We start from the raw sequence: 25,576 nt of genomic DNA, 5'->3' as shown, positions 1-25,576 counted from the left end.
ATGGTACTGGCATAAAACCAGACATACTGACCGGTGGAATAGAGTACAGGAATAAATCCAGTCATAATTAGTGAACTAATTTTCAACAAGGGCACCAAGAAAGACAATGAGGAAAGGATGGTCTCTTCAATAAATGGTCCTGGGAAAACTGATTTCCACATGCAGAAGAATAAAACTGGACTGTTACCCTACACTGGATTCTTATCCATTTTGAGTTGATTTTTGTGTAGGATAAAAGAAAAGACCTAAACCTAAGACCTGGAACTCTAAAACTCCTAGAAGGGTAAAGCTCTTTGACATTGGCCTCGGCAATGATTTCTTAGATATCACATCAAAAGCTCAGGCTACAAAAACAAAAATAAATAAATGGGACTACATCAAACTAAAAAGCTTCTGCCCAGCAAAGAAAATAATCAACAAAATGAAAAGGCAACCTACAGATTAGAAAAATCCATGTATCAGATAAGGGGTTAATATCCAAGATGTATAAAGAACTCATGCAACTCAATAGCAAGAAAACATATAACCCAATTTAAAAATGGGCAAAGGACTTGAACAGACATTTCTCCAAAGAGACATACAAATGGCCAACAGTACATGAAAAGGAGTTCAACAACACCAATCAGAGAAGTGTAAATGAAACCACTATGAGATGCCATCTCGCACCTGTTAGGATGGCTATTATTAAAAAATACAAGAGATAACGGGTGCTAGTGAGAGTGTGGAGAAAAGAGAACCCTTTGTACCCCTTGTATCAACTCTGTTGGTGGGAATGTAGATTGGTATAGCCATTATGAAAAACCGTATGGAAGTTTCAGAAAATTAAAAAATAGACCTACCATATGGCCCAGCAATCCCTCTTCTGGGTACATACCCAACAGAAATGAAATGACCACCTCATAAAAATACTGCACTCCCATGTTTAATGCAGAATTAGTCACAATAACCAAGATATGGAAACAATCTAGGTGTCCATCAATGGACAAATGAATAAGGAAGCTGTGGTATATATACAATGGAATATTTTATTCAGCCTTAAAAAAGAGGAACTCCTGCCATTTGTCCCTGCATGGATGGACCTGGAGGACATTACACTAAGTGAATTAAGTCAGACACAAAACATATTGCATAGTCTCACTTACATGTGGAATCTTTTTTAAAAGGTCAAATATATAGAGAATAAAACAGTGGTTACCAAGACCAGAGTTATGGGGCAGGGGAATGGGAAGATGTAGGTCAAAGGACACTGAGTATCCCTAATTGATTTGCAGATTCAATCTAATTCCTAACAAAATTCCAACCGCCTTTTTTTTTTGCGCAGAAATATAAAAGCTAATTCTAAAATTCAGGCTAGGCATGGTGGCTCATGCCTGTAATCCCAGCAGTTTGGGAGGCTGAGGTGGGAAGATCACTTGAAGTCAGTTCAAGACCAGCCTGGGCAACAAAGAGAGATCCCCCCCCTCAACCCATGTATATAAAAATAGAGATAATAAAATTAGCCAGTGCAGTGGCATGCACCTGTAATCACAGCTCCTCAGGAGGCTGGGGTGGGAGCCCAGGAGATTGACTCTACAGTAAGCAATGATTGCACCACTACACTCCAGCCTGGGCAACAACGGAAAGAAAAATCCTAAAATTCATATGGATATGTAAGTGGCCCAAAATAGCCAAAACAATCTTGAAAAAGAGAAACAAGGTGGGAGGACTTGTACTTCCCAGTGTCAGTGGGGTTATGTTACAGTAATCAACACAGTGTGGTTCAGGCATAAGGATACATATATAGATGAATGGCATAAAATTAAGAGTCCAGAAATAAACCTGCACATCTATGGTCAATTAATTTTTGACAAGAGTGGCAAGATCATTAAGTAGGAGAAAGAATACTGTTTTCAACATGTTGTGCTGGAACAGCTGGACATCCACACGCAAAAGAATGAATTAGAGCCTTACCTTATACCGTATACAAAAAATTAACTCAAAATGGAAAAAAGACTTAAATGTAAGAACCAAAGTAATAAAACTCCTTGAAAATACAGGTACCTTTTCATGACCTTGGATTAAATAATGGTTTATTGGCTATTATACCAGAAGCACAAGCAACCAAAGAAAAAATTAATCTATTGGACTTCATAAAACTTGAAAACTTTTCACTTCAAAAGATACTTTTCTCCCATTTTAACTTTCTTGATAGTATTTGCAAGACATATTTCTGATAAGGTTCTAACATCAAAAACATCTAAAGAACGCTCACAACAATAAAAAGACAACCACATTTAAAAAATGGGTAAAGGATTTAAATAGAATTTCTTCAATGAAGATTTTAAAATGACAAGTAGAGGAAATGCTAATCATTAGTCACCAGGGAAAAACAAATCAAAACTACAATAACATACCACTTCACACACACTAGGATGCTTATAATAATGACAGAACAAGGCCGGGCATGGTGGCTCGTGCCTGTAATCCTAGCACTTTGGGAGGCCGAGGCCGGTGGATCACATGAGATCAGGAGTTCAAGACCAGCCTGACCAACATGGTGAAACTCCATCTCTACAAAAAACAAAACAAAACAAAACAAAAAATTAGCCAGGTGGGGTGGTGTGCACCTGTAATCCCAGCTACTCGGGAGAATGAGGCAATTGCTTGAACCCAGGAGGCAGAGGTTGTAGTGAGCCGAGATTGCGCCATTGCACTCCAGCCTGTGTGACAGACTGAGACCTTGTCTCAAAATAATAATGAGAGAAAGAAAGAAAAACATTTTAAGGTTCATTCACATGATAAGAGTGAAAGAAACCAGTCACAAAGACCATATGTTTTATGCTTCCATTTATATGAAATATACAGAACAGGCAAATCTATAGAGACAGAAAGAAGATTAGTTGTTGCCTAGTAGTAGGGTATAGAATTGGGTGCTAATAAGGATGGAGTTTCCTTTTAGGGGTGACTAAAATGTTATAAAATTGACTGGTAATGGTGGTATAAATTTGAATATGCCAAAAACCACTGAATTGTACACTCTGAATGGGTCAATAGTATGGTATGTAAATTATATTTCAATAAAGCTGTTAAGAAATAAAATAAATTTAGTGGCACATGCCTACAGTCCTAGCTACTTAAGAGGCTGAGGCAAAAGGATTGCTTGAGCCCAGGAATTCCAGGCTGCAGTGATCCATGATCACATCCATGAATAGCTACTGCAACCCAGCCTTGGGAACATAGCAAGACCCTGTCTCAAATAAATAAATAAATAAAATTGGCATAATTTTTTAAGAAGAGCTGTGGTTCCTCAAAATAGCTACTTTGGAAAGCAGTGTACCTAGCATATTAGTAAGGATATAACAGGCTTTGCTGCAGGAACAAATAAACCCACATCTCAGTGACTCATATCACACCCAGTGCTGGCTGACTAGCTCTCCTGGGCAATTTCTCTGAGTGGTGACTTTGGGATCCAAGCTTCATCTTGTGACATTGCCATGTAAATATATACCCACTGAGGTCACTGTGGAAAGGCAAGAGAGAATGGATGATGGTTCAAGGGAGGTTATAGCTGGCTTGAAAGTTGTACACCTTACTTCCTCCTGCACCACAATGGCCAAACTATGGTCATATAGCTCCAATTTAATTACAAGTCATGCTGGAAAAGTCTTCCAATGTGCCCAGGGAGAGGAAAGTGAAATATGATTTGGTGAGCCCATGGCATTGTCTCTGTCCCAAATCACCCATGAAGGAAGGTCGAGGGGAGAGAGAAAGAAAAAGAAAAAAGAAACCAGCTACTGCTCAAACTTGTAGAGATCCTCTTTGGCAAATATTTTCATATGCAGTTGAAAAGAACAAATCTTCCTAACTCATAATTTTGTTTTTTGGGCTATTGACACCTTCAGGACTCACTCATTAGGTCCACTGCCTGCCAGTTACATTCCCTGCACTCCCCACACTCTTGGCGTATCTCAGTCACTCCTCATATTGCAGGTTATCTGTTTTATGTCTGTATCTAGGACCCATTGTACTCATTTCTTTACCCCAACTGGTAGCAAAAGCCCAGCACATACTAGATGGCCAAGACAAGTTTTGGGACCACGACATATGTAACCTAGTTGAGAAACACTAGGCAAACACCTCAAGAGCAAGCACAGGGTCTTATTCTGGCAACTTTGCAGTGTTCAGCACACCATAGGGATCATTTGACTGATTCTTCTCTGGCCCAACCAAAGCTAAGCAGCTGCCAAGCAGGTATGGTCATTCATCCATCCATCATTTGAGGATCAACTTTCTGCCAGGCACTGAGCTAGGTGCTGTAGATTTTAGCTTGGCCATCTCTAAATCGGAGAGCTAATGAAGATGCTGAGCCTTCACCACTCAAAGAGATCCTCTGGTGTCATTTGGGAAGAGGGAGGTTGCCCTGGAGCAGTCACCACGTCTCAGAGTCTGTTCTTAGAAGGCAAAGGGGAAGAGTTCTGCTCTAGACCTAGCCAACAGTTGGTGCTGTTGGTGTGGATGGGAGCAGAGGGAGGGGCTGGCCCTGTGATCACAGTTTTGCCCATGCTTTAGTGATGAATAGTGCGTATCCCTTCTCTGCAGCTGACATTCACTTCTTTAGGGCTTTAACTGCTCCTTTTCCTTCAGGGGCAGAGTCAACCAGTTGCTCAGTTCATGGTGTGCTAGCACAATTTCTCCATGTGAGGTCCTGCTCCTACTGTGCTTTACTTTATTCCTCTTTATCCCAATTCTCCACTCCCACCTTTGCACATTCATCCCTACTGTTGCATTTAATGTTTATCTTTCTTTTTCTCCGCACACTTGAGAAACCTGACAAGTTGATTGATAGGTATGTATTTTCAGGTTCCTACAAATGATGCAGTGTTAGAGATTTTGTCCTGCTTCTTACTTTTCTCACTCACGCTATTTTTAAGGCTGTAGCCACAGTGATGGGTGTCCACCCTGTTTGTGGCTGTGGGTCATCCATGTGACAATCTCATTTTACTCACCCATTCCCCAGTGATGGATGCCAGCCTCTAACTCCACTGTCCCCAAACAATACTGTGGTAAATCACTTCTCGGTCGCTTTGTGTGCAAGTCTTTGGGACATATGCCCAGGAACAAAATGTCTAGCACTTGAATGATACAGGTATCAATGTCACTAAGCAGAGCGAGATCCCCCTCTACAATGGCTGTACTCAGCTACCTGTCAGCCAACCACGTATGGAATATCTCAACCTTCACATCCCTGTGGCTGGCGCAGGCTCAGAGAGAGGCCAGTGTAGCTCAAGGTCTAGAGTTATCAAGGAAAAGCCATCGTTCTGAGGTCCATCTCCTGAAAGGCGGCCTCTCCTGAGTGTCATCCTGTCTCATCTTTTCCTCACCCCGGGTCCTCCCTGGTGGATATGGTTCTCCTCCTCATCCCCCAAACTTCTCATGCCCCAGCATGGGCCACCCCACCACAGACTTGGCATCTGGGGTGGGTGGACAGGAAGGGGGGTGGACTGGCCTACCCAAGGGGCAGAGCATTGGCCTTGGCAATTTGGTGCAGGAAGACAGGATCCAGGAGGGAGATGAGCTCTCACCCCGGATACGCGTTCAGAAGCAGCATTCAAGTTCCCCCTCCCAGTTTTTCATCCGATGCTCACCACGCCCCCTGGGTAACCGGGATGTGTAAAGTTGAAGAACCCCCACTCCCAAGTGAGGTGATTTGCCTCAAGGAGAGGCTGAGTTGAGGCCAGAACCTCCTTGGCTTTTTGGACATTCAGGACCCAGTGGTACAGGGGTGGGGGTGGGCCGCTTGCTCCCCAGAGAAGAGAGGGAGGAATAGAGAAAGGGGAAGAGGAGCCAGGCCAGCAACTGCAGATAAACAAGGATATTCCCAGGGCTCAGCCCCAGGGCACTTGAAAGCCAGCAGCTCAGGCAGAGGCTGTGATGGGTCCCCCAGCAGAGCTTCAGTGAAACACCACGGTGTCACCAGTCATTTGTCTCCCTGGCACAGGGCCCACTCATCTACTCTTGGCTTGGAATGAACTGGTTCCCCAGAGGAGAGGCTATCTGGCTAATTGTGCACAAACACATAGAACTTGCTGCAGTCAAGACCTGCGTGCCGACCCCACCACGCCGGCCAGTCCAGGGTCATGTGGCCGCCTCTTCACCTCCAGCAAATGAAGCTGGTACAGCTGTTGGCAGAGCCAGAAGGGGTACTTTCTAGGCACATACCTGCCCCTAGGATGGGAGGCCTTTGTATACATTTTTATTGTAGATGGGGTCTGAGACAATTTTTCTGTCCCTACTCTGGTGTCCACGGACTGTCACACCACCACTTCTGCTTTCAGGCAGAAAACCACCTCCCAGCAGGCTCCCACTGAGGACTCTCGCCTGACCTGGAAACCCCTGCTCCTCTCTCTGCTGCCATCTGCCTCAGGGAGAGTTGGGCTGGAGGAGGGAGTGGAGCAGTGGGGACAGGAAGTCCCTCGCTAGACTCAGCAAAACAGGGACCCTTGGCTTGGGTGGGCAGCTTTCTGCAGCCCCCTTTGTTTCCACCTGGAAACGTTGATTTCCCCAGTTGGACACTCAGAATCTCAAATGACATCAAGGCCACAAACAAATCTCTCCTCCTCTGCAGGGCATTCTTTTCACATGCCCTCAGAGCATGACTGAGCTTGGAGGAATTCTGAGCCATGGTTGGTTTGCTGCAAATGGGCATCGTCAGGTGTTCCTGTAGCCAGGGAAACAGGAAATGAGGACAGAGGAGAGGGGATGCCAGTAGAGCTTTGAGTCCTCGGGTTCCAAGAGGGGAGAAGATGGATGTGGCATGCGTGTCTAGGGCCCAGGCTGAAGGCCCTGAACGGCAGAGGAGACCGGGGCTACGGGGTCACGTCATGGAGCAGAAGGCCTGTGCACCAGAACGCACCATGAGGCCACCATCTGGGGGTCCACAGGGGCAGCTGAACCTCATCATGCCTAGGGTTTCTGGTCACCTCCTACCTATGCAGAGCTGTGGACAATAAGCTGGACCAGCAGTTACCACCCGAAAAGCAAGAGGAGAGCTCACCACAGTCATGCCTTGCCAGCCCCTCTTCCTGACCCCAACATTAGAACAGCAAGTGCCAAGAAGCAGGAGAGTCATGTGCAACTGCCCCTACCCCACTCTCCATCTATGGAAACACTAGGTTTAGCCTGCACTAGGTGGAGAAGGGAAGAGAGATTGACGTTTCAAAATGAGCTATCAGGGGACTTCTATTTACAGCAATATGAGAAACTAGGTAACCTGAAAGGCAACACCCACCGCAATATGCTCAGAATTGCTTGGTGCAATAGAACAGACTCTAAATGCAGAGTTCAACAGAAAGTAAAGGCCAAAAGATGAACTGGGAACCAACAATTAGGTATACAACTTCATGATCTCCCCACCCACCAGGGCTGGCATCCTCTCACTAACTCAGGGGCTTGGATTGTTTTGTTTTGCTTTTCGAGACAGAGTCTCACTCTGCCACCCAGGTTGGAGTGCAGTGGCACAATCTCAGCTCACTGCAACCTCCACCTCCCGGGTTCAAGTGATTCTCATGCTTCAGCCTCCCGAGTAGCTGGGATTACAGATGTGCATCACTATGCCTGGCTAGTTTTTATATTTATTTTTAGTAGAAATGGGGTTTTGCCATGTTGACCAGGCTGGTCTTGAACTCCTGGCCTCATGTGATCCACCCAACTTGGCCTCCCAAAGTGCCAGGATTACAGGCGTGTGCCACCATCCCTGGCCTAGGGACTTGGGTTTTAATGCTGTGAGGAATTGGAGAGGAAGCCTTGGACCTGCCCCACAACACTCATAAATGAGGGGTCCTTCAAGGGCAGGATGCACTCTCAGTAATCATCATCTAGAGAAAGTTCCCCCACTGGCAGTTATGTCAGGGATATTAGACCTGGCCTGGGCTCTGAGTAGGGAAAATGATTCTCCTATCAATTTGTCATCACAGGCCCATACTCATGTGATGGGATTAGGCTGTATATGACATGCATGGGCCAGAAAATCCCCAGGTCAAAACATTGGTATGCAAAGCAGTCCTGGGCTGGTGATAACGCCAAGCACCTGGCTGAAGCAAACCCAAAAGCACTCTGGAGGCACCCACTCTCATGTAAGGTACAGAAGATTCCAATAGATGAAGTCCCCATTAAGACCAGCTCACAATCCCAAATTACAAAACACTGGCAACTCCAAGTCAATAAACTTCAGGGATGGAAAGCCAGTAGAATGATCAAAACAGAGCCTACAAGATAAATTGGCTTAAAATTACTAAAGACCTAAAATGAGAAATAAAAACAGAAAAAAAGAATCAAGATACATGAAAAAATAGGTAAATTTTAAAAAGTATTTCCAGAAAGTAAAATTTTAAAAATATAATTACTGAAATAATAGAAATACCTCTGCAGATGGGTTACCGCTGATTCTCAAAGTTTATCACACCTGAGGATCCCCTGGAGGGCTTCTTAAACACAGACTGCAGGGCCACCTCCAGAGTTTCTGGGGCAGGGCCTGAGAATTTGCATTTATAAGAAGTACCCAGGTGAAGCTGCACTGATGATCTGGGGACAACGGGTTAGCTGATTAACTCTGGCCAAAGACAAAATTCTGACTGACCAAAAGTAGTTGACAAGTTAGTGAATAAAGTTGGGTTATTTTAATAGGTCTTCTATCCAGGGGAAAGGAGTTTCAATCAGCACACAGTTGAAAGCAGTAACTGAGAAAAATAAAACCATGTCCACGTGCATGTTTCAAATACACTGTCAGGATTTTCAATAGTCTAAGTAGTCTGTATCTTGTCCAAGGTTACAAGAGACAAAGAACATTATATATTGAGAAGAGATTCAATACAGCAAGAATAAGTAGTTATAAACATTTAGCACTTAACAGAATATGCAAAGCAGAAAGGGAGCGAATTGGAGGGAAAAGTAGTTCTACAATAATCGTCGGAGACCTCAGTCCCCCACTTTCAATAATGGAAAGAACAACCAGACAGAAGATAAGAAAGGAAATGAGAGGACTTGAACAACACAGCAAGCCAAGTGGACCTAACACACACCACCAGGCCCCCAGTGCATTTCAGCTGAGGCCTCTGGACACGAGGCCCACGACAGGTGTCTTAGTGGGCCCACGACTGCTGTGACAAATTACCACAAACTTGCTGGCTTCCAACAACACACGTTTATGATCTTACAGTCCTGGAGGTCGAAAGAGTAAAAAGAGGTCTCACTGAGCTGAAATGAAGCTGCTGGCAGGGCTGCGTTTCTTTCCGGAGGTTCGTTGGGAGAACCTAGTCCCTTACCTTTTCCAGCTGCTAGGCAGAGGCCGCCCTGTTCCGTGGCCCGTCCTCCATCCCCAAAGCCAGAAAAACCGGGCTGAGACCTCCTGGTGCTGTCGGCCTTCTCTGTTCTCTGTTCTCTCTCTTTCTTTCTCTCGCCTCTCTTCCTTATAAGGACAGGTGATTGCATTGGGCCCACCTGGGTGACCCAGGCTAATCTCCTTACCCATTAAGCTCCCCATCCTCAGCCTTTTCTTCTGTCAGATGGAGAATATAATCCCCTAGTTTTAGGGAATTTTGAGGAATAAATCGGATTACTAAACTGTGAGTTCCTTGAGTCAATAAAGATTAACTGAGCACTTACTGTGTGTAAGGCAACTTTCCTAAGTGCTAGGGATACGACAGTGAACAAAACACACAAAAATGCGTGTTTCTGTCTGTGTGTGCAATTAATCTACCTTAATTCCATCCGCAACTGTAATTCCCTTTTGCCATGTAAGGGGACAAATTCACAGGCTCTGGGGAGTAGGATGTGGACACCCTTGGGGCGTTTATTCTGCCTTCCGCAGTGGAGGACTGCAGACGCTGTGGGCGAAATGTTTGGAGCTGGTGCCATTAAAACCCTCTGCAGTTCCCGCTCAAGGTGCAACTCTCAAGTACTGGCACCTGGGTTTGCGGCCACGTGAGGCTCTGAGCAGCATGGGCCTTGGGGACACTGAAGATATCAGAGGCCCTAGAGGTATGTGTGGCTTCCCAGGTTAAAGTTGGCACGGAGAGAGAAGAGCGTGGCAAGTCAGGCAAACCCGGTGAACTCCCTTTGTCAGCCTTCCTTCCGTCTGCCACAAGGAAGGCCTGTACCAGAACCCAGGGCCTTCTGGGCTGAGAGGCCGCAGCCTGCATTGGAAGGCCACTGAGTCACGGACGTGGGAAGATGACCATCGGTGTCCGAGACGCGAGTATAAAGCCAGGCGCTGCCACTCACCAAGCTGCGCGATCTCGGGCGAGCAGCGCTTCGCCAGGCTCGGCCCACGGCGACGCCACAGTGCCACCTGCCGGCCGGACGCCCTCGCTCGCGCACCCCGCCCTCCTCACTCGCGCACCCCGCCCTCCTCACTCGCGCACCCCGCCCTCCTCACTCGCGCACCCCGCCCTCCTCACTCGCGCACTCCCCCGCCCTCCTCACTCGCGCACTCCCCCGCCCTCCTCACTCGCGCACTCCCCCGCCCTCCTCACTCGCGCACCCCGCCCTCCTCACTCGCGCACCCCGCCCTCCTCACTCGCGCACCCCGCCCTCCTCACTCGCGCACCCCGCCCTCCTCACTCGCGCACTCCCCCGCCCTCCTCACTCGCGCACTCCCCCGCCCTCCTCACTCGCGCACTCCCCCGCCCTCCTCACTCGCGCACTCCCCCGCCCTCCTCACTCGCGCACCCCTCCCTCCTCACTCGCGCACTCCCCCGCCCTCCTCACTCGCGCACTCCCCCGCCCTCCTCACTCGCGCACTCCCCCGCCCTCCTCACTCGCGCACTCCCCCGCCCTCCTCACTCGCGCACCCCGCCCTCCTCACTCGCGCACTCCCCCGCCCTCCTCACTCGCGCACCCCGCCCTCCTCTCTCGCGCACCCCGCCCTCCTCACTCGCGCACTCCCCCGCCCTCCTCACTCGCGCACCCCGCCCTCCTCTCTCGCGCACCCCGCCCTCCTCACTCGCGCACCCCGCCCTCCTCACTCGCGCACTCCCCCGCCCTCCTCACTCGCGCACCCCTCCCTCCTCACTCGCGCACTCCCCCGCCCTCCTCACTCGCGCACTCCCCCGCCCTCCTCACTCGCGCACTCCCCCGCCCTCCTCACTCGCGCACTCCCCCGCCCTCCTCACTCGCGCACCCCGCCCTCCTCACTCGCGCACCCCGCCCTCCTCACTCGCGCACTCCCCCGCCCTCCTCACTCGCGCACCCCGCCCTCCTCACTCGCGCACTCCCCCGCCCTCCTCACTCGCGCACCCCGCCCTCCTCTCTCGCGCACCCCGCCCTCCTCACTCGCGCACTCCCCCGCCCTCCTCACTCGCGCACCCCGCCCTCCTCTCTCGCGCACCCCGCCCTCCTCACTCGCGCACTCCCCCGCCCTCCTCACTCGCGCACTCCCCCGCCCTCCTCACTCGCGCACCCCGCCCTCCTCACTCGCGCACTCCCCCGCCCTCCTCACTCGCGCACTCCCCCGCCCTCCTCACTCGCGCACCCCGCCCTCCTCACTCGCGCACTCCCCCGCCCTCCTCACTCGCGCACTCCCCCGCCCTCCTCACTCGCGCACCCCGCCCTCCTCACTCGCGCACTCCCCCGCCCTCCTCACTCGCGCACCCCGCCCTCCTCTCTCGCGCACCCCGCCCTCCTCACTCGCGCACTCCCCCGCCCTCCTCACTCGCGCACTCCCCCGCCCTCCTCACTCGCGCACCCCTCCCTCCTCACTCGCGCACTCCCCCGCCCTCCTCACTCGCGCACTCCCCCGCCCTCCTCACTCGCGCACTCCCCCGCCCTCCTCACTCGCGCACTCCCCCGCCCTCCTCACTCGCGCACCCCGCCCTCCTCACTCGCGCACTCCCCCGCCCTCCTCACTCGCGCACCCCGCCCTCCTCTCTCGCGCACTCCCCCGCCCTCCTCACTCGCGCACCCCTCCCTCCTCACTCGCGCACTCCCCCGCCCTCCTCACTCGCGCACTCCCCCGCCCTCCTCACTCGCGCACTCCCCCGCCCTCCTCACTCGCGCACTCCCCCGCCCTCCTCACTCGCGCACTCCCCCGCCCTCCTCACTCGCGCACTCCCCCGCCCTCCTCACTCGCGCACCCCTCCCTCCTCACTCGCGCACCCCGCCCTCCTCACTCGCGCACTCCCCCGCCCTCCTCACTCGCGCACTCCCCCGCCCTCCTCACTCGCGCACCCCGCCCTCCTCACTCGCGCACCCCGCCCTCCTCACTCGCGCACCCCGCCCTCCTCACTCGCGCACCCCGCCCTCCTCACTCGCGCACTCCCCCGCCCTCCTCACTCGCGCACCCCGCCCTCCTCACTCGCGCACCCCGCCCTCCTCACTCGCGCACCCCGCCCTCCTCTCTCGCGCACCCCGCCCTCCTCACTCGCGCACCCCGCCCGGCAGTGCGGCCCGCACCCGCCCCCTCCCGAGCACCCTGGCGCGCACTTAGCCAGTACCTGCGCGTGCACCTCGGCGTTCAACGCGGCCTTTGCGGCGGCTCTCCCCTTGGACCTGAGGCTTCCCGCTTCGTTCTAGAGTGAAGGCTGGAAGAGCCCAGACAGGAAGGTGTCAGCTCTGTCCCACACCCAGGTGGCCTGTGCTGTCCCTTAAGTACAGCAGCAACAACGTCACCTGGGGAGGAAAGCTTCATGGAGCTCACCAGATTTGCAGGGGTGAAAGATGGAGGGAGGAGGGGAGTTGGATTCCTATACTAGTTTTTATCTGGATAACTTCTGAGCCAAGCACAGCTTTGTGAGCCTCTAGAGACCCCCTAACCTACTTGCATCAACTGGACATAAAGAGGGGAGCCCAATAGCAACTGCATCCATTCTAAAACCAAAAGCTACTGTTATTCGCCAGGCATGGTAGTAAGTGTCCTATGAGTGTTAATTCATCCATCAAACATTCTTTGAGCTTCCCCTCTGAGCCAGATCGTGTCTAGGTGCCTGGGATGCAGAGGTAGCGAACGTGCCCACACAGGCATACACACGCATTCCTATCCCCTCTACTTCGTCGGCGCTGTTGTTTGACATAGGAATTACTACCACCTAAAACACTATATATTTTACTTTATTTTTCTTATATTATTGTCTGCTACCACACATGTATGCCTGTGGACATCCACACCAACCCCCACACACACACAGACACATTTTTTGTGTGTTTTGTTCACTTTTGTATCCCTAGCACTTAGGAAAGTTGCCTTACACACAGTAAGTGCTCACTCTTTATCAGCTCAAGGAACTCACGATTTGGTAATCTGATGTATTCCTCAAAATTCCCTAAAACTAGGGGATTATATTGTTCATTTGACAGAAGAAAAGGCTGAGGATGGGGAGTGGCCTGCATGGACTGATTCAACTCTTAGCAGTGGAGATGGGAGGCAGACCCAGGTCTGCTGATCCTAAATCCTGTCCTCTGAGTGTCCCCCATAAGCTAATTACTGGAGAAAGCAGAAAGAAAAGAAACCACTATTATCAGCATTGCTTTTCATTTTATTAATCTGAAGAGTGAACACAGTGAAAGCAGGCAGCTACATGTTAGCTGTAGACTGTAGACCACATCTGTTCAAGAATCCCTCCGAGATCATTACATATAAAAATGGCAAATAAAATAATTTTAGCTTTATTTATTTATTTAAAGTTCTACTGAGATAGCAATAAAATAAGGAAAACAATGAGAGGGCAGAAATTCCATTGGAATCAAAATCCTGTATGAGTGAGCTGAATTTTGTCCTGAAGGCTTCTGCTGGTTTCCAGTCGCCTAGAACCACAGTTACACTGAACTATGCTGGGTACAAATGACCAAAGTAAGAGGGGAGCTGGGCTGGAGGAAGAGTTCTGACCAGAGACCCCTGCATAAAGTCAGAAATCCCAGAACTCAATACCTTCAGTGGGTGAGCACAGAAGCAAAGAAATAAAACATTCCCCTAACACATTCCTAACCATCTGTCCCTATTTGACTAGGAAGAGGGCAAGAATCTACACTTTTTGTGAAAATTGAAGCCCCCTCGCAAATAGAAAGTTTTGGGTTTGGTGTTTTTTGTTTGTTTTTTGAGATGGAGTCTCACTGTGTCACCCAGGCTGGAGTGCAGTGGCGTGATCTCGGCTCACTGCAAGCTCTGCCTCCCGGGTTCACACCATTCTCCTGCCTCAGCCTCCCGAGTAGCTGGGACTACAGACGCCCGCCACCATGCCCGGCTAATTTTTTTGTATTTTTAGTAGAGACGGGGTTTCACCATGTTAGCCAGGATGGTCTCAGTCTCCTGACCTCGTGATCTCCCCGCCTCAGCCTCCCAAAGTGCTGGGATTATAGGTGTAAGCCACCGTGCCCGGCCTGGGTTTGTTTGTTTTCTGAGACGGAGTCTCGCTCTGTCACCCAGGCTAGAGCGCATTGGCTCACTGCAACCTCCACCTCCCAGGTTCAAGCAATTCTCCTGCCTCAGTCTCCCAAGTAGCTGGAATTACTGCCACCCACCAACATGCCCGGCTAAGTTTTGTATTTTTAGTAGAGATGGGGTTTCACCATGTTAGCCAGGCTAATCTCAAACTCCTGACTTCAGGTGATCCACCTGCCTCAGCCTCCCGAAGTGCTGAGATTACAGGCATGAGCCACTGCTCTCAGCCAGAAATTTTAGTTTAAAGTGATCTGAAGTTGACTGTGCTTCCTGGCATCTAGCATAAGCAAATATAAGTTCTCTCCAAAAGGTTTAAGCTGAGGCCTTAACGATTTCTCAAAGATAGTGACTAGGAACATGATTTTATAATCAAAAGTCACAAAACACATGAAGAAACAAACTGTCATGAAATAGGTTCCATGCTTGGTAATGGTAGACTGAGTGAATCAGAACAGCTCTCCCTCAAGAACAACAGAAAATCTTGACATCATTGGCAAGCAAACAAGTGAGTGAGAAATTATGGAAAAGAGACGGAATTCCAGAAAAGTTAGCTCAGAATTTGAAATCATTTTGACCTGGGGATACTAAAAAGGGATCAGCCCTCAAAGGAACTGAAGACCAACCGCAAAATTATGTCAGTCCCTGATGATATTAAGATGACCTGGGGTAACTGGGGCTTCTAGTCTCATTGCCTAGAGAAAAAGTAATCCTCTTAAAATGTAGATACAATTATCCAGAACCTCAAATTACCTCTTAAATGTTTACATATAATGCCCGGCATTTAATTTTTAAAAAGCCAGGAATAGTAGAGGTTAAGATATTAACAAAACTCAAGATAATCAATGAACAGTAGGGACATATCCTTGGAGCATCCAGGATTTGAAATTATCAGAAACAAACCTCATACAGCTATAATTAATTGGTTTAAGAAATACAGAAGTATTTTGTCAGAGAATGAGAAAGCATTCAAAATAGAAATCCTAAATCTTAAAACTTTAGAACAAACTGAAATTAGGAAATCAATAGATTGGTTTAACAGGAGTTTGAATTCAACTGAAGAAAAAGTGAATTGGGAGATGGAATCAGAAAAAAAATACATGCTGAGGCACAGAAAGACAAAATGTTGGAAAATACAGAAGGAATATAAGAGGCGTCTAGAGTATGGTAAAAATATCTAGCATATTTGTTATGAGGAGTCACAGAGGAAAGGAGAAGACAGAGTGGAGAAGTACTATTTGAAAAGAAGAGAATTTTCAAAAATGAATAAAAGATGGGATACCACAGATACAAGCAACACTATAATTCCCAAGAAGGAGAGAAGCAACACCATATCTAGGGACATTATAGCAAACTGATGAAAAGCAAAAACAGAGAAAAATCTGAAAGCATTTGGAAAAAAAAAAAGAAAATTATCTTCAAAGGAGCAACACTAAGACTGATGACTGATTTTAAAATAGAAACAATGGACTCCAGGAAACAAAGGAACAGCATCTTGATGCCATCTTGCCAGACTGGAAGTCTATACCCAGTGAAAATATCCTTCAAAAAGTGAAGGAGAAATAGAGGCTGAAAGACAAACAGCATTGAGAAACACATTACCATCAAAAAAAATTAAAAAAGATATTGTAATTAAAAATCTGCTCACAAAGAAAACCAGGTGCAGACAATTTTGCAAGTGAATGCTTACAAACATTTAAGAAAGAAAGAACACTGCTTCTACACAAAATCTTCCAAAGCATAGGAAAAGGGGAATACAATTAAAATTATGTACCACCTTTTTTAAAAAAGAATAAAAAGATGAACATTTAGAGAAAAAATTTAAAGATATAAATAAAGTAAGCAATGTACTATGCAATAGACTGGAATATTCAATATTTAAAAATATCAGTTCTCTAATAGATCTGTGCAGTCTGGTTCTAAAAATCATGTCGACATTGACACACAACTTGAATAGACTTCAAGGGAAGTATTTTTTTTTTAAAGCCAATCTCAAAAGGTTACACACTATATGATTCCATTATTCTTGGAATAATGAAGTTACAGAGCTGGAAAATAGACTAATGGTTGCCCGAGATGAACGTTAGGAGGTTTGGGAGATAACCGTCTGTTCAGTGCAGTGAGGCAAGGAAAGGCAACTAAAGGGTGAAGATTAGAAAGGAAAAAGTAAACTGTCATTATTTACAGATAACATGATTGCATGCATAAAAAATTAAAAGAAAACAGGTAAAACATCAAAGCTCATGAAATAATTTATCAAGGTTACTGGCTAAAGGTTACTATGAAAAATCATTTGCGTTTCTTCACACCAACAACAAACATTAAGAAAATTAATTTCTCCCCAAAAAGTTGTTTAGCCTGAATCTAGTCATAAGGAAACAAGCCAAATCTAGACTGCAGGACATTCTACAAAATGACCGGCCTAGACTTTTCAAACATGCCAATATCATGAAAAGAGGGAGCAGGAAAGGAGGTGCGGTGTTCTAAATGAGATTAAAGAGACATGAAGAATGAGTGCAATGTGTGATCCCAGATTAGATTCCAGGTTTTCTTGAGATACAATCTATGTAGCATAAAATGCACCATCTTAACGGACGCATTTCTGTGATTTTTAACATATTCACCAAGTTGTGCAATCATCACCATGATCTAATTCCAGGACATTTTCATCGCCTCCCAAAATCCCTTCTACCCATTAGGTGTCACTTCCATTTCTGCACTCCTCCCAGCTCCTGCCAACCGCTAATCTACTTGCTGCCTCTATAGGTTTGCCTATTCTGGATATTCCAAATAAATGAAACCATACGATATGTGGTCTTTTACATCTGGCTTCTTCCTTCACTGACATTTCTTTAACACTTTCACGGTTCATCCATGTTTTAGCATGTATCAATACTTCACATCTTTTTAAGGCTAAATAATATTCCATTGTATGGATTTATCACATTTTGTTAATATATTCATCAGTCAAAGGACATTTGGGTTGTTTCTGTTTTGGCTATTGCGAAGAATGCCACCATGAAGATTCACGTACACATTTTTGTGTGAACATATGTTTTCAGTTCTCTTGGATGTATGCCTAGTAGTGGAATTGCTGGATCATACGGTAACCGGACATCTAACTTTTTGAGGAACTGCCAGGCTGTTTTCCACAGCTGCTGCACAATTTTCCATTCCCACCCACAAATGTATAAGGGTTCCAATTTCTTCACATCCTTGTTGATACTTGTTATTATTTTTTATTATAGCCATACTAGTGAGTGTGAAGTGGTACCTCACTGTAGTTTTGATTTGCAGTTCCCTAATGACTAGTGATACTGAATATATTTTCATGTGCTTATTGGTAATTTCTATGTCTTCTTTGTAGAAATGCCTATTCCATTTCTTTCTCCATTTTTAATTGGAGTTGTCTTTTTATTATTAAGTTGTATGAATTCTTTGAATTCTTTATATGTTCTAGAAACTAGACACTTATCAGATATATGACTTGCAATATTTTCTTCCAGTATGTGGTCTGTCTTTTGACTTTGATAGTGTTATTTGATGCACAATTTTTTTAATTTTGATGAAGTTCAGCTTATCTGTTTTTTCTTTGATTGCTTGTGCTTTTGGTGTCATATCCACAAAGCTGTTGCCTAATCCAAGATTACAAATTTTCAAACCTATGTTTTCTTCTGATTTTTATAATTTTAACTTTTATATTGAGATCTTTGAGTTAATTTTTAGTATGTGGTATGTGTTAGAGATGAACATTTATAATTTGTAAAAAAAAGACTATTCTTTCATCTGTTTAATGGTCTTAGAATTCTTGTAAAAAATCCATTGACACCTTCAATGTGAGGACTTTTTTTGACTGTCAGTTCTAGTCCACTGATATATATGGTTATTCTCGTGCCAATTTTGATTACTGTTGCTTTGTAGTAAGTTTTGAATTAGAGAACTGTGCATCCTCCAACCTTGTTTCCAGGATTGTTTGGGCTATTCTGGGCTCCTTTAATCCCATATGAATTATAAGATCAACTTGTCTATATTTGAAAAATATGCAGATGGAATTGTCTCTTTCGTTCTTGATTTTAGTAATTTGAATCTTTCTTTTCCTTTGGCAGTCTAGTTAAAGGTTTGTCAAATTTTTTTTATCATTTCAAAGAACCAACTTTGGTTTCATTAATTTTCTCTATCATTCTTCTGTTCTCTATATTTTTCACCCTGCTCTAAGCTTTATTATTTCCAGGCAGTTTGTGATAAGGCAGAAAGGGTAAAGAATAATTCTGGGCTAGGGGAATGATATGAGCTAAGCCATAGATATGTGAAAGGGCATGACAATTACAGCAAATGATAAGCAGCTCTGTGTAATAGCCCCCAGAGCTGGGGGTGGGGGCAGATACAACTAAACTGTATTTTAGCAAGATCATTCCAGCAATGTGAGAAAATGGGAGAAAGGGAGGCTAGAAAGGAAACAAGAAGTGGTGCTGGACAGCTTGATGTGTTGTTAAGGATGAGGAAGAAGGAATGGATGTGATGGGGATTAAGAGGTCCACTTGGAAGCGTCTGTGGGCCATTGACCATGAGGAGAGGGAGGAGTATAGGACGGTGTGGGGCTGGTGTTGGGGCCATAGGCTATATCAAGGGAGTGTGAGTGGGAAGATAAAGGGTTCTGTTTGGGGAAGGTTGTGTGTCAATGTGTCTTGAGGCATGTGGACAGAAATGTCCAGAAACAGTGGGAGAGACAGGTTGGGAACACAGGCAGAAGTCAAGGATGTGGGGCAGGTTTGAGGGCCATTGGTGAGTGGGCAGAAAGGATGTGACCCACCCCACGGAAAAGGTCAAGGATGAAAGAGAACCTACAACATCTCTGGTAACACCAGGGTTAGAGGCTGAAACACAAGACCAGGAGTCAGCAAACAAGATGAAGGGGCCAGCCAGAAAGTGGCAGTCAGTGCTGTGAAAACACCAGCAGTGCACGGTGGCACCTCAGAAGCCCTTGGGAGGGACCGAAGATGGGACAAGGCCAGCAGGGCTGAGAGTCCCAAAGAGGTCAAGTAAGGTGTGGCTGCCCATGTCCACTGGACTTGGCAGTCAGTGAGCCATCAGCCACTCACCCAATGACAGTGCAGGAGGCAGAAGCTCAAGTGGAGTGGGCCGAGGAGCTGAGGCAGGCAAGGAAGTAGGAGGGCAAGTGTTCCCCACCTTCCCAGGAGTTTGACAGGACCACAAGGAGAGGGCGAAAGTGGCCAATCAGCTGAAGGTCTGAATAGAACATAAAGGCTGATCTCCCATGAGTAAGAGGGAACGCCTCCTGCCTGACTGCCTTCAAGCTGGGACATTTGTCACCCTCTCCAAGCCCCCCAACCTTTGGACTCAAACTTAAGCATTAGCTGTTCCTGGGTCTTGGGTCTGCTGGCTTCAGACTGGAACCGCGTCACCGGCTCTCCTGGGTCTCCAGCTGGCCAACTGCAGATCTTGGGACTTGTCAGCCTCCACAGTCACAGGAGCCAATTATTTATTATATGAATCTCCTATTGGTTCTGTTTCACTGAAAGACCTGACTAATGCAAGGGGCACTGGGGGTGGTAATGGACACCTTTCTTCAGGCTGAAAGAAAGGACTATATGGAGGCCTACGAATTGATTGAGCAGGAAGAACAGGGGGTGAAGGAGCTCAACAGAAGGTTCATTGCTCCAAGTGGTGGGGCCTTTTACTGATCCAGTTACAGGGCCTGCATCCTCATCCATTCCATCCTCACCACGGGTCAGCAGAGCCATATGGTTGAGGAGTCTCTCCCCTGCGGTTTATACACAATATGGTTTGGTTTCCTCCAGCATCTACCTCTTAACTGCAGAACCCCCCTTTCCCACTGGGCAGCAGCTCCCTAAGTCCTTATTAGGGAGCCATAAGCTTTCGACTTCTTTTGGTTACTGCTTGTAGGAGTTAGGATTCCATCCCGTTCACTGGTTAAATCTTCACTCTCAAGCTCCATTTGAAACTCATCTCCCCTTCCCATGCCAGCCAGAGCCACAGTCTTGGAGCTGGAGAGGAGGCTGAGCTTTGATCCTGCGCTGGCCTTGCCCTTTCTTGCGGGCTTCCCCTTCTGGTGCCCAGGGTGGGGGTAGGGGAGACGTCTGCAGGGGGCTGCTTCTAAGCAATGCTGGTGACCTCTACCGCTGCCGTCTCCCATAGGTGGGGTCGGGCTTTCGAGAGGCAGAGTTCAGTGTCACGCCAACCTTTCCATTGCTAAGAACCAGCCCTCCCAAGTTCCCCTTCAGCCTGGTCAGACATTGAGACCCTGTCTCAGCTGTCCAGGTGGGTGCCCATCACTCAACTTGACTTCTGCCTGACAGAGAGGCTCTGTCCCTCTGCCAATCCTATTCCTTCGTGCAGAGCTCTTCTGCAGGCTCCGAGGGCTTTGGAGAACTGGGACGGGGTGTCGGGGGTCCCCCTTTCCTTCCCAGATATGCCATGCCCACATCCCTCATATTCACCATGGAACCCTCCTTCTTTCCTCAGTCACATTGCTGGGGGAGGGAAGTGTCTGCAAAGAGCAATGAATGGGGGTGCAAGTGACGGCAGTGTCACAGCAATGCAAGGAGTGCCCCTGGGAAAGAACCAGAGGGCAGCCAGGGACGCTGGCTCTGTTGGAGGGAGGCATCTGGGCTGGTCTTTCCGAGGCAAAGGGTTTGCATGGGTGGTGGCCCCAGCAGTAAAGCAGTGCCTCTGTAATGGGGCACCCCCAATCTCTGGGTGTTAAAATGCATTTTCTGTTGCAGTGTTCCTGGGCGGCACTCCAGGTTTGGCCTTTCTAACTCCTTGGGGGTGCTGGGGATGCTGGCTCAGGGACTGTCCCTCCCGGGAGGGATCTGCCATTTCAGAGGCTCAAAATGACACACATAAATCTCTCTCACGCTTGCAACTGGACAACCTTTCCTGCACCCTCCCTCCCCCAAGCAAGTGTTCCTGTTTTGTTTTATTCTCTATGGAAACAACATGAACAAAGGGTCTAGTAACCAACACATGGAGAGGACTCTCTACACACCAAGCACCGCAGTGTTCTAGTTAATCCTCCTAACAGCCCTCCGCTGCACAGGCGGGGAAACTGAGGCCTGGAGATGTCCAGTCACTGACTGGAGGATGCACATGGGGAAGTGGCAGAGCTGTCTGCTCCCAGGGAGGAGGGTAGCCCTCAGCCCCTCACACTGCCAGAGGTCACCCAGGGAGGGCTTTTTCCAAACAGCCTTTTGGAAAGGGAGCGTCTGGAAATTTCCTCAGGCTAATTAACTTGAGGCAAGGACCCTGCAGTGAAGAGGCGGCACTTTTAACAGCTCTGAGACAGTTACATGCTAAGTTTCTGGTAAACAGAAATGAATGAGTCCCAAGAGGGCTGGGGTTTGTTTTGGGAAAAGAGAAAGGGGGAAAAGTCAGCCAGGGCAGACCGGAGGAGGCTAACGGCAGCCTGGGAGGCCTTGTCAGTGTCTCCCCCGGGCAGACCACGGGCCACTTCCAACAGCCGCTGCCAGAGCCTGCAGGCCTGCTGGGGTCCTGGGCTGCGTGATGTGCATATATTAATCTCCTGGGATTGCCATGAAGTACCACAAACTGTGCGGCTTCAACAGCAGACATTTATCTTGTCACAGCTCTGGAGTCGAGAAGTCTGAGATCAAGGTGAGGCAGGGTTGGTTCCTCCTGGGGGCCCTGACTGGGGACTGCTCCAGGCCTCTTGTCTAACTTCTGGTGGTTGTCACAATCTTCTGTGTTCCTTGGCCTGTAGGTCTCGCCCCATCCCTGCCCTCATCTTCACTTGGTGTTCTCCCTACGTGCGAGCCTGTCTCTGGGTCCGAATTTCCCCTTTTTATAAGGACACCAGTTGCACCGCATTAGGGACCCACCCTACTCCAGTATGGCCTCGTCTTAACTCGTTACATCTGCAACAACCTAAATGGGACCAGTTCTGCGGTACAGGGGACGGGGCTTCAACATACGAGTCCTCAGAGGATGCAGTGCCACCCATCACAGTGAGGGAGGGGTACGGATGGCCCCTCTACCCGGACAGCCCAGATGTGGACCCATGGATTTTCTCACACAAATTCCAGGACCCCCAAGCACAGTTAGAGAAAGTATTACAAGGCCTGGGGAATGGACAACAGGCGGCTCTTCCCTGGGCAATCCCCAGCGCTGGAGACAAATGAGGGTGTTTCCACAGCATGTTGCAGGACGTCCTCCACATGTCACATGAGTGTCCAGACCCGCAGACACTGTCGCAAACTTCCTGAAACCTCAGTCCATGAGGCCAAAGGCACTGTCACGGAAGGGCTGGGCCAGGACAAGCCACGGAGCCTCTCTTCACCTGCCTGCCGGGGAGGATGATGCCGACCTTGAAAGTACAACTAAGGCTGTTGGATGAATTCAGTGCACTTTCCACCCCACCTCAAGTGAAGTTATCTTGAAATTATTGTCTTAGCCCTGCCCCTGCCCTGCCCTCCCACATTCTAGCAAAGACTCAGCCAAATGCCTTCCTTTTTTTTTTTCTTTTGAGAGGGAGCTTCCCTCTTGTCGCCCAGACAGGAGTGCAATGACACGATCTTGGCTCACTGCGACCTCTGCCTCCCAGGTTCAAGTGATTCTCCCACCCCAGCCTCCCAAGTAGCTGGGACTACAAGCGTGCACCACTACACCCAGCTAATTTTTGTATTTTTAGTAGAGACAGGGTTTCACCAGGTTGGCCAGGCTGGTCTTGAACTCCTGACCTCAGGTGATCCACCCGCCTGGGCCTCCCAAAGTGCTGGGATTACAGGCGTGAACCACCGCCCCTGGCCTAGCCAAATGCCTTTCACCAACTTTAATGATCCAACCCTCAGGGCACATGGAGTGCATACTGGCCTGGAACCCTGGGGACCACAGGCCTCTGTTTCTGCAGCCAGCAGCCACCCACTTTGATTCCAATGTCCTGCTATTCCCTGGGGGAGTCACCGCCCTTCACCCCCACTGTCAAGCCGTCAGCTTAAGGCAGCTCGACATCACCCAAGGCAGACAATGGAAGCCCTTCCCATGCCTTTTCCTGGAATTACTGGGAACAGTAAGCTCTTTTTTTCCCCTGTTGGGGAATGAAGTACCTACCTTATGTACAGACATGATAAAATGGACGCAGCACTACCTGGAGATAACAAGGTAATATGTGTAAAGTACCTACGCAGGAAATATTTCTTGTTCGGGTGTTGAAGGTAAAATGACACAGGAATGTACAGGAAGCACCCAAGGCATCCACAGAACATGCTTGTTGCAGAGGCGGGTTTACTGTGAAGGCAACAAAGCCTAAGCTTGCAGTCCCTCACCTGAGCCGCCCTGTCCAAGGCCCTGCATTGAATTCTGTCTGTAACTTTGTCTCTTTCTCATCAAGAGGACAACACCTATCCCCAAAATTGTATAATAAGCTTCATGTCCCCAAAACTTGGATCCAGTTCTGAATGCTGGGCATGGGAAATAAGAGGAACTGAGATTTTTTAAAATTAACAAAATGCAGAGGGTGAACCAGATGCTATTTAGCTTCCTTCTAAGGCAAAAGTCTCGTCTGTCTGTGATCCTGATGTAATAAACCCATCTTTTTGGATTGCACTGGGACTGGATTCAAGACTTTAAAAAAACCGAAAGGCTTTTCTTAAAAACAGAAATTAGCATTTAACCCTAAGATAATAAAGCAGAAGCCAGATGAAATTCAAAGTGCTTAAATTTCCATTAAAGAATAAATTCAGGTCTCCAGGGGGGAAAAAAATGAAGCAAATATTCTCCCAGGGCAAGAGGAAAAGAAGGTTGTCCGAGTACCTCTCAGGGAGGAAGGTGGAGCTGACAGCCAGGAGAATTCACTATAGAAGAACCCAGACCTGGGAGCAAAGAACCCACTTCAGGGCTCACTGAAGACTCTGTCCTGGCTTCTTAACCCAGCCCACCTGGGGAGCAGGGAAGGGCCCTGCAATTGAGACGACTGAATAGAGAAGGCAGCTAGGCACGGTGGCACACACCTGTAATCCCAGCACTTTGGGAGGTCGAGGCGGGTGGATCACAAGGTCAGGAGTTCAAGACCAGCCTGGCCAACATGGTGAAACCCCGTCTTTACTAAAAATACAAAAATTAGCTGGGAGCACCTGTAATCCCAGCTACTTGGGAGGCTGAGGCAGGAGAATTTCTCGAACTCGGGAGGTGGAGGTTGCAGTGAAACGAGATCATGCCACTGCACTCCAGCCTGGGTGAGAGAGCGAGACTCCATCTCAAAAAAAAAAAAAAAAAAATTGAAAAGGCAACTGCATACAGGGGAGGATTCTGTGTTAAAGCCTGCTTTTCCTGGTAGGAATTTCTTGAAGCAACAGGAAGCTCTGAAACTCTGTTTTCAGTCACTTGGACAGTCAGTCGGTTGTGGGTCAACAAACTTTCCATGTGTTTATGTTTGAGGCACCAGGCTGAGCCCTGGAGATGTAGAGTGGAAAGCAGAGGGTTGTACTGGAAGTGACTGTAGACGGTGTAGTGGCTGAGGCCATGACGGATGGACAGCACAGGCCTCTGGAAGGGACACTAAAAGGGAGTATCTGCCTAGTCTAGGTGCCATCCGTAATGATACCTGACATTTTTGACTTGGGCTTTGTGCAGATGACAAATGGAGCGTTCAGAATGCCAAGAACAACAGCTCAGGGCCAGGCGCGGCGGCTTATGCCTGTCATCCCAGCACTTTGGGAGGCTGAGGCAGGCGGATCACCTGAAGTCACGAGTTCGAGACCAGCCTGGCCAACATGGCGAAATCCTGTCCTACTAAAAATACAAAAATTAGCTGGGCCTGGTGGCGGGTGCCTGTAATCCCAGCTACTCGGAAGGCTGAGGCAGGAGAATCACTTGAACCCAGGAGGCAGAGGTTGCAGTGAGCCAAGGATCATGCCACTGCACTCCAGCCTGGGCAACAAAGCAAGACTCCACCTCAAAAAAAAGAACAACAGGCCTGAAATGGGGCCACCCTCCTGCTAGCTGGAAAAGGTGCCATGGCTTCCTCTGTCAGTGTCAGCTCCCATCACAAAGGAGGGACAAGTAACAGCCTACTCTTCCAGGCCAGGCCTCCTCCCACAGCTGTCGGCCTTAGGCATAGTCTGTGTGTCTTGAGTTGTCCAGCGTCCTGGTGGAAGGCTTTGCTTCCTAAGTGTC

At 48.2% G+C, this 25,576-nt stretch overlaps 3 annotated features.

Annotated features, from left to right (window-relative positions):
- Positions 10,158 to 10,452: an enhancer, noted in NCBI's record as "tiled region #10020; HepG2 Activating DNase matched - State 4:PromP". NCBI's record gives its function as "activates a minimal TATA promoter and a strong SV40 promoter by Sharpr-MPRA in HepG2 cells {active_cell/tissue: HepG2}" and the evidence as "EXISTENCE:reporter gene assay evidence [ECO:0000049][PMID:27701403]".
- Positions 10,377 to 10,436: a silencer, noted in NCBI's record as "silent region_6875". NCBI's record gives its function as "represses an Ori minimal core promoter by ATAC-STARR-seq in GM12878 lymphoblastoid cells {active_cell/tissue: GM12878}" and the evidence as "EXISTENCE:reporter gene assay evidence [ECO:0000049][PMID:35858748]".
- Positions 21,356 to 22,220: an enhancer, noted in NCBI's record as "H3K4me1 hESC enhancer chr15:100456801-100457665 (GRCh37/hg19 assembly coordinates)". NCBI's record gives its function as "activates a minimal SCP1, AML or CMV promoter by ChIP-STARR-seq in naive and primed H9 embryonic stem cells {active_cell/tissue: H9 hESC(naive and primed)}" and the evidence as "EXISTENCE:reporter gene assay evidence [ECO:0000049][PMID:30033119]".

Source organism: Homo sapiens, chromosome 15 (assembly GCF_000001405.40).
Source record: "Homo sapiens chromosome 15, GRCh38.p14 Primary Assembly".
Classification (NCBI taxonomy): domain Eukaryota; kingdom Metazoa; phylum Chordata; class Mammalia; order Primates; family Hominidae; genus Homo; species Homo sapiens.
This window is presented reverse-complemented; position numbering and strand designations above follow the sequence as displayed.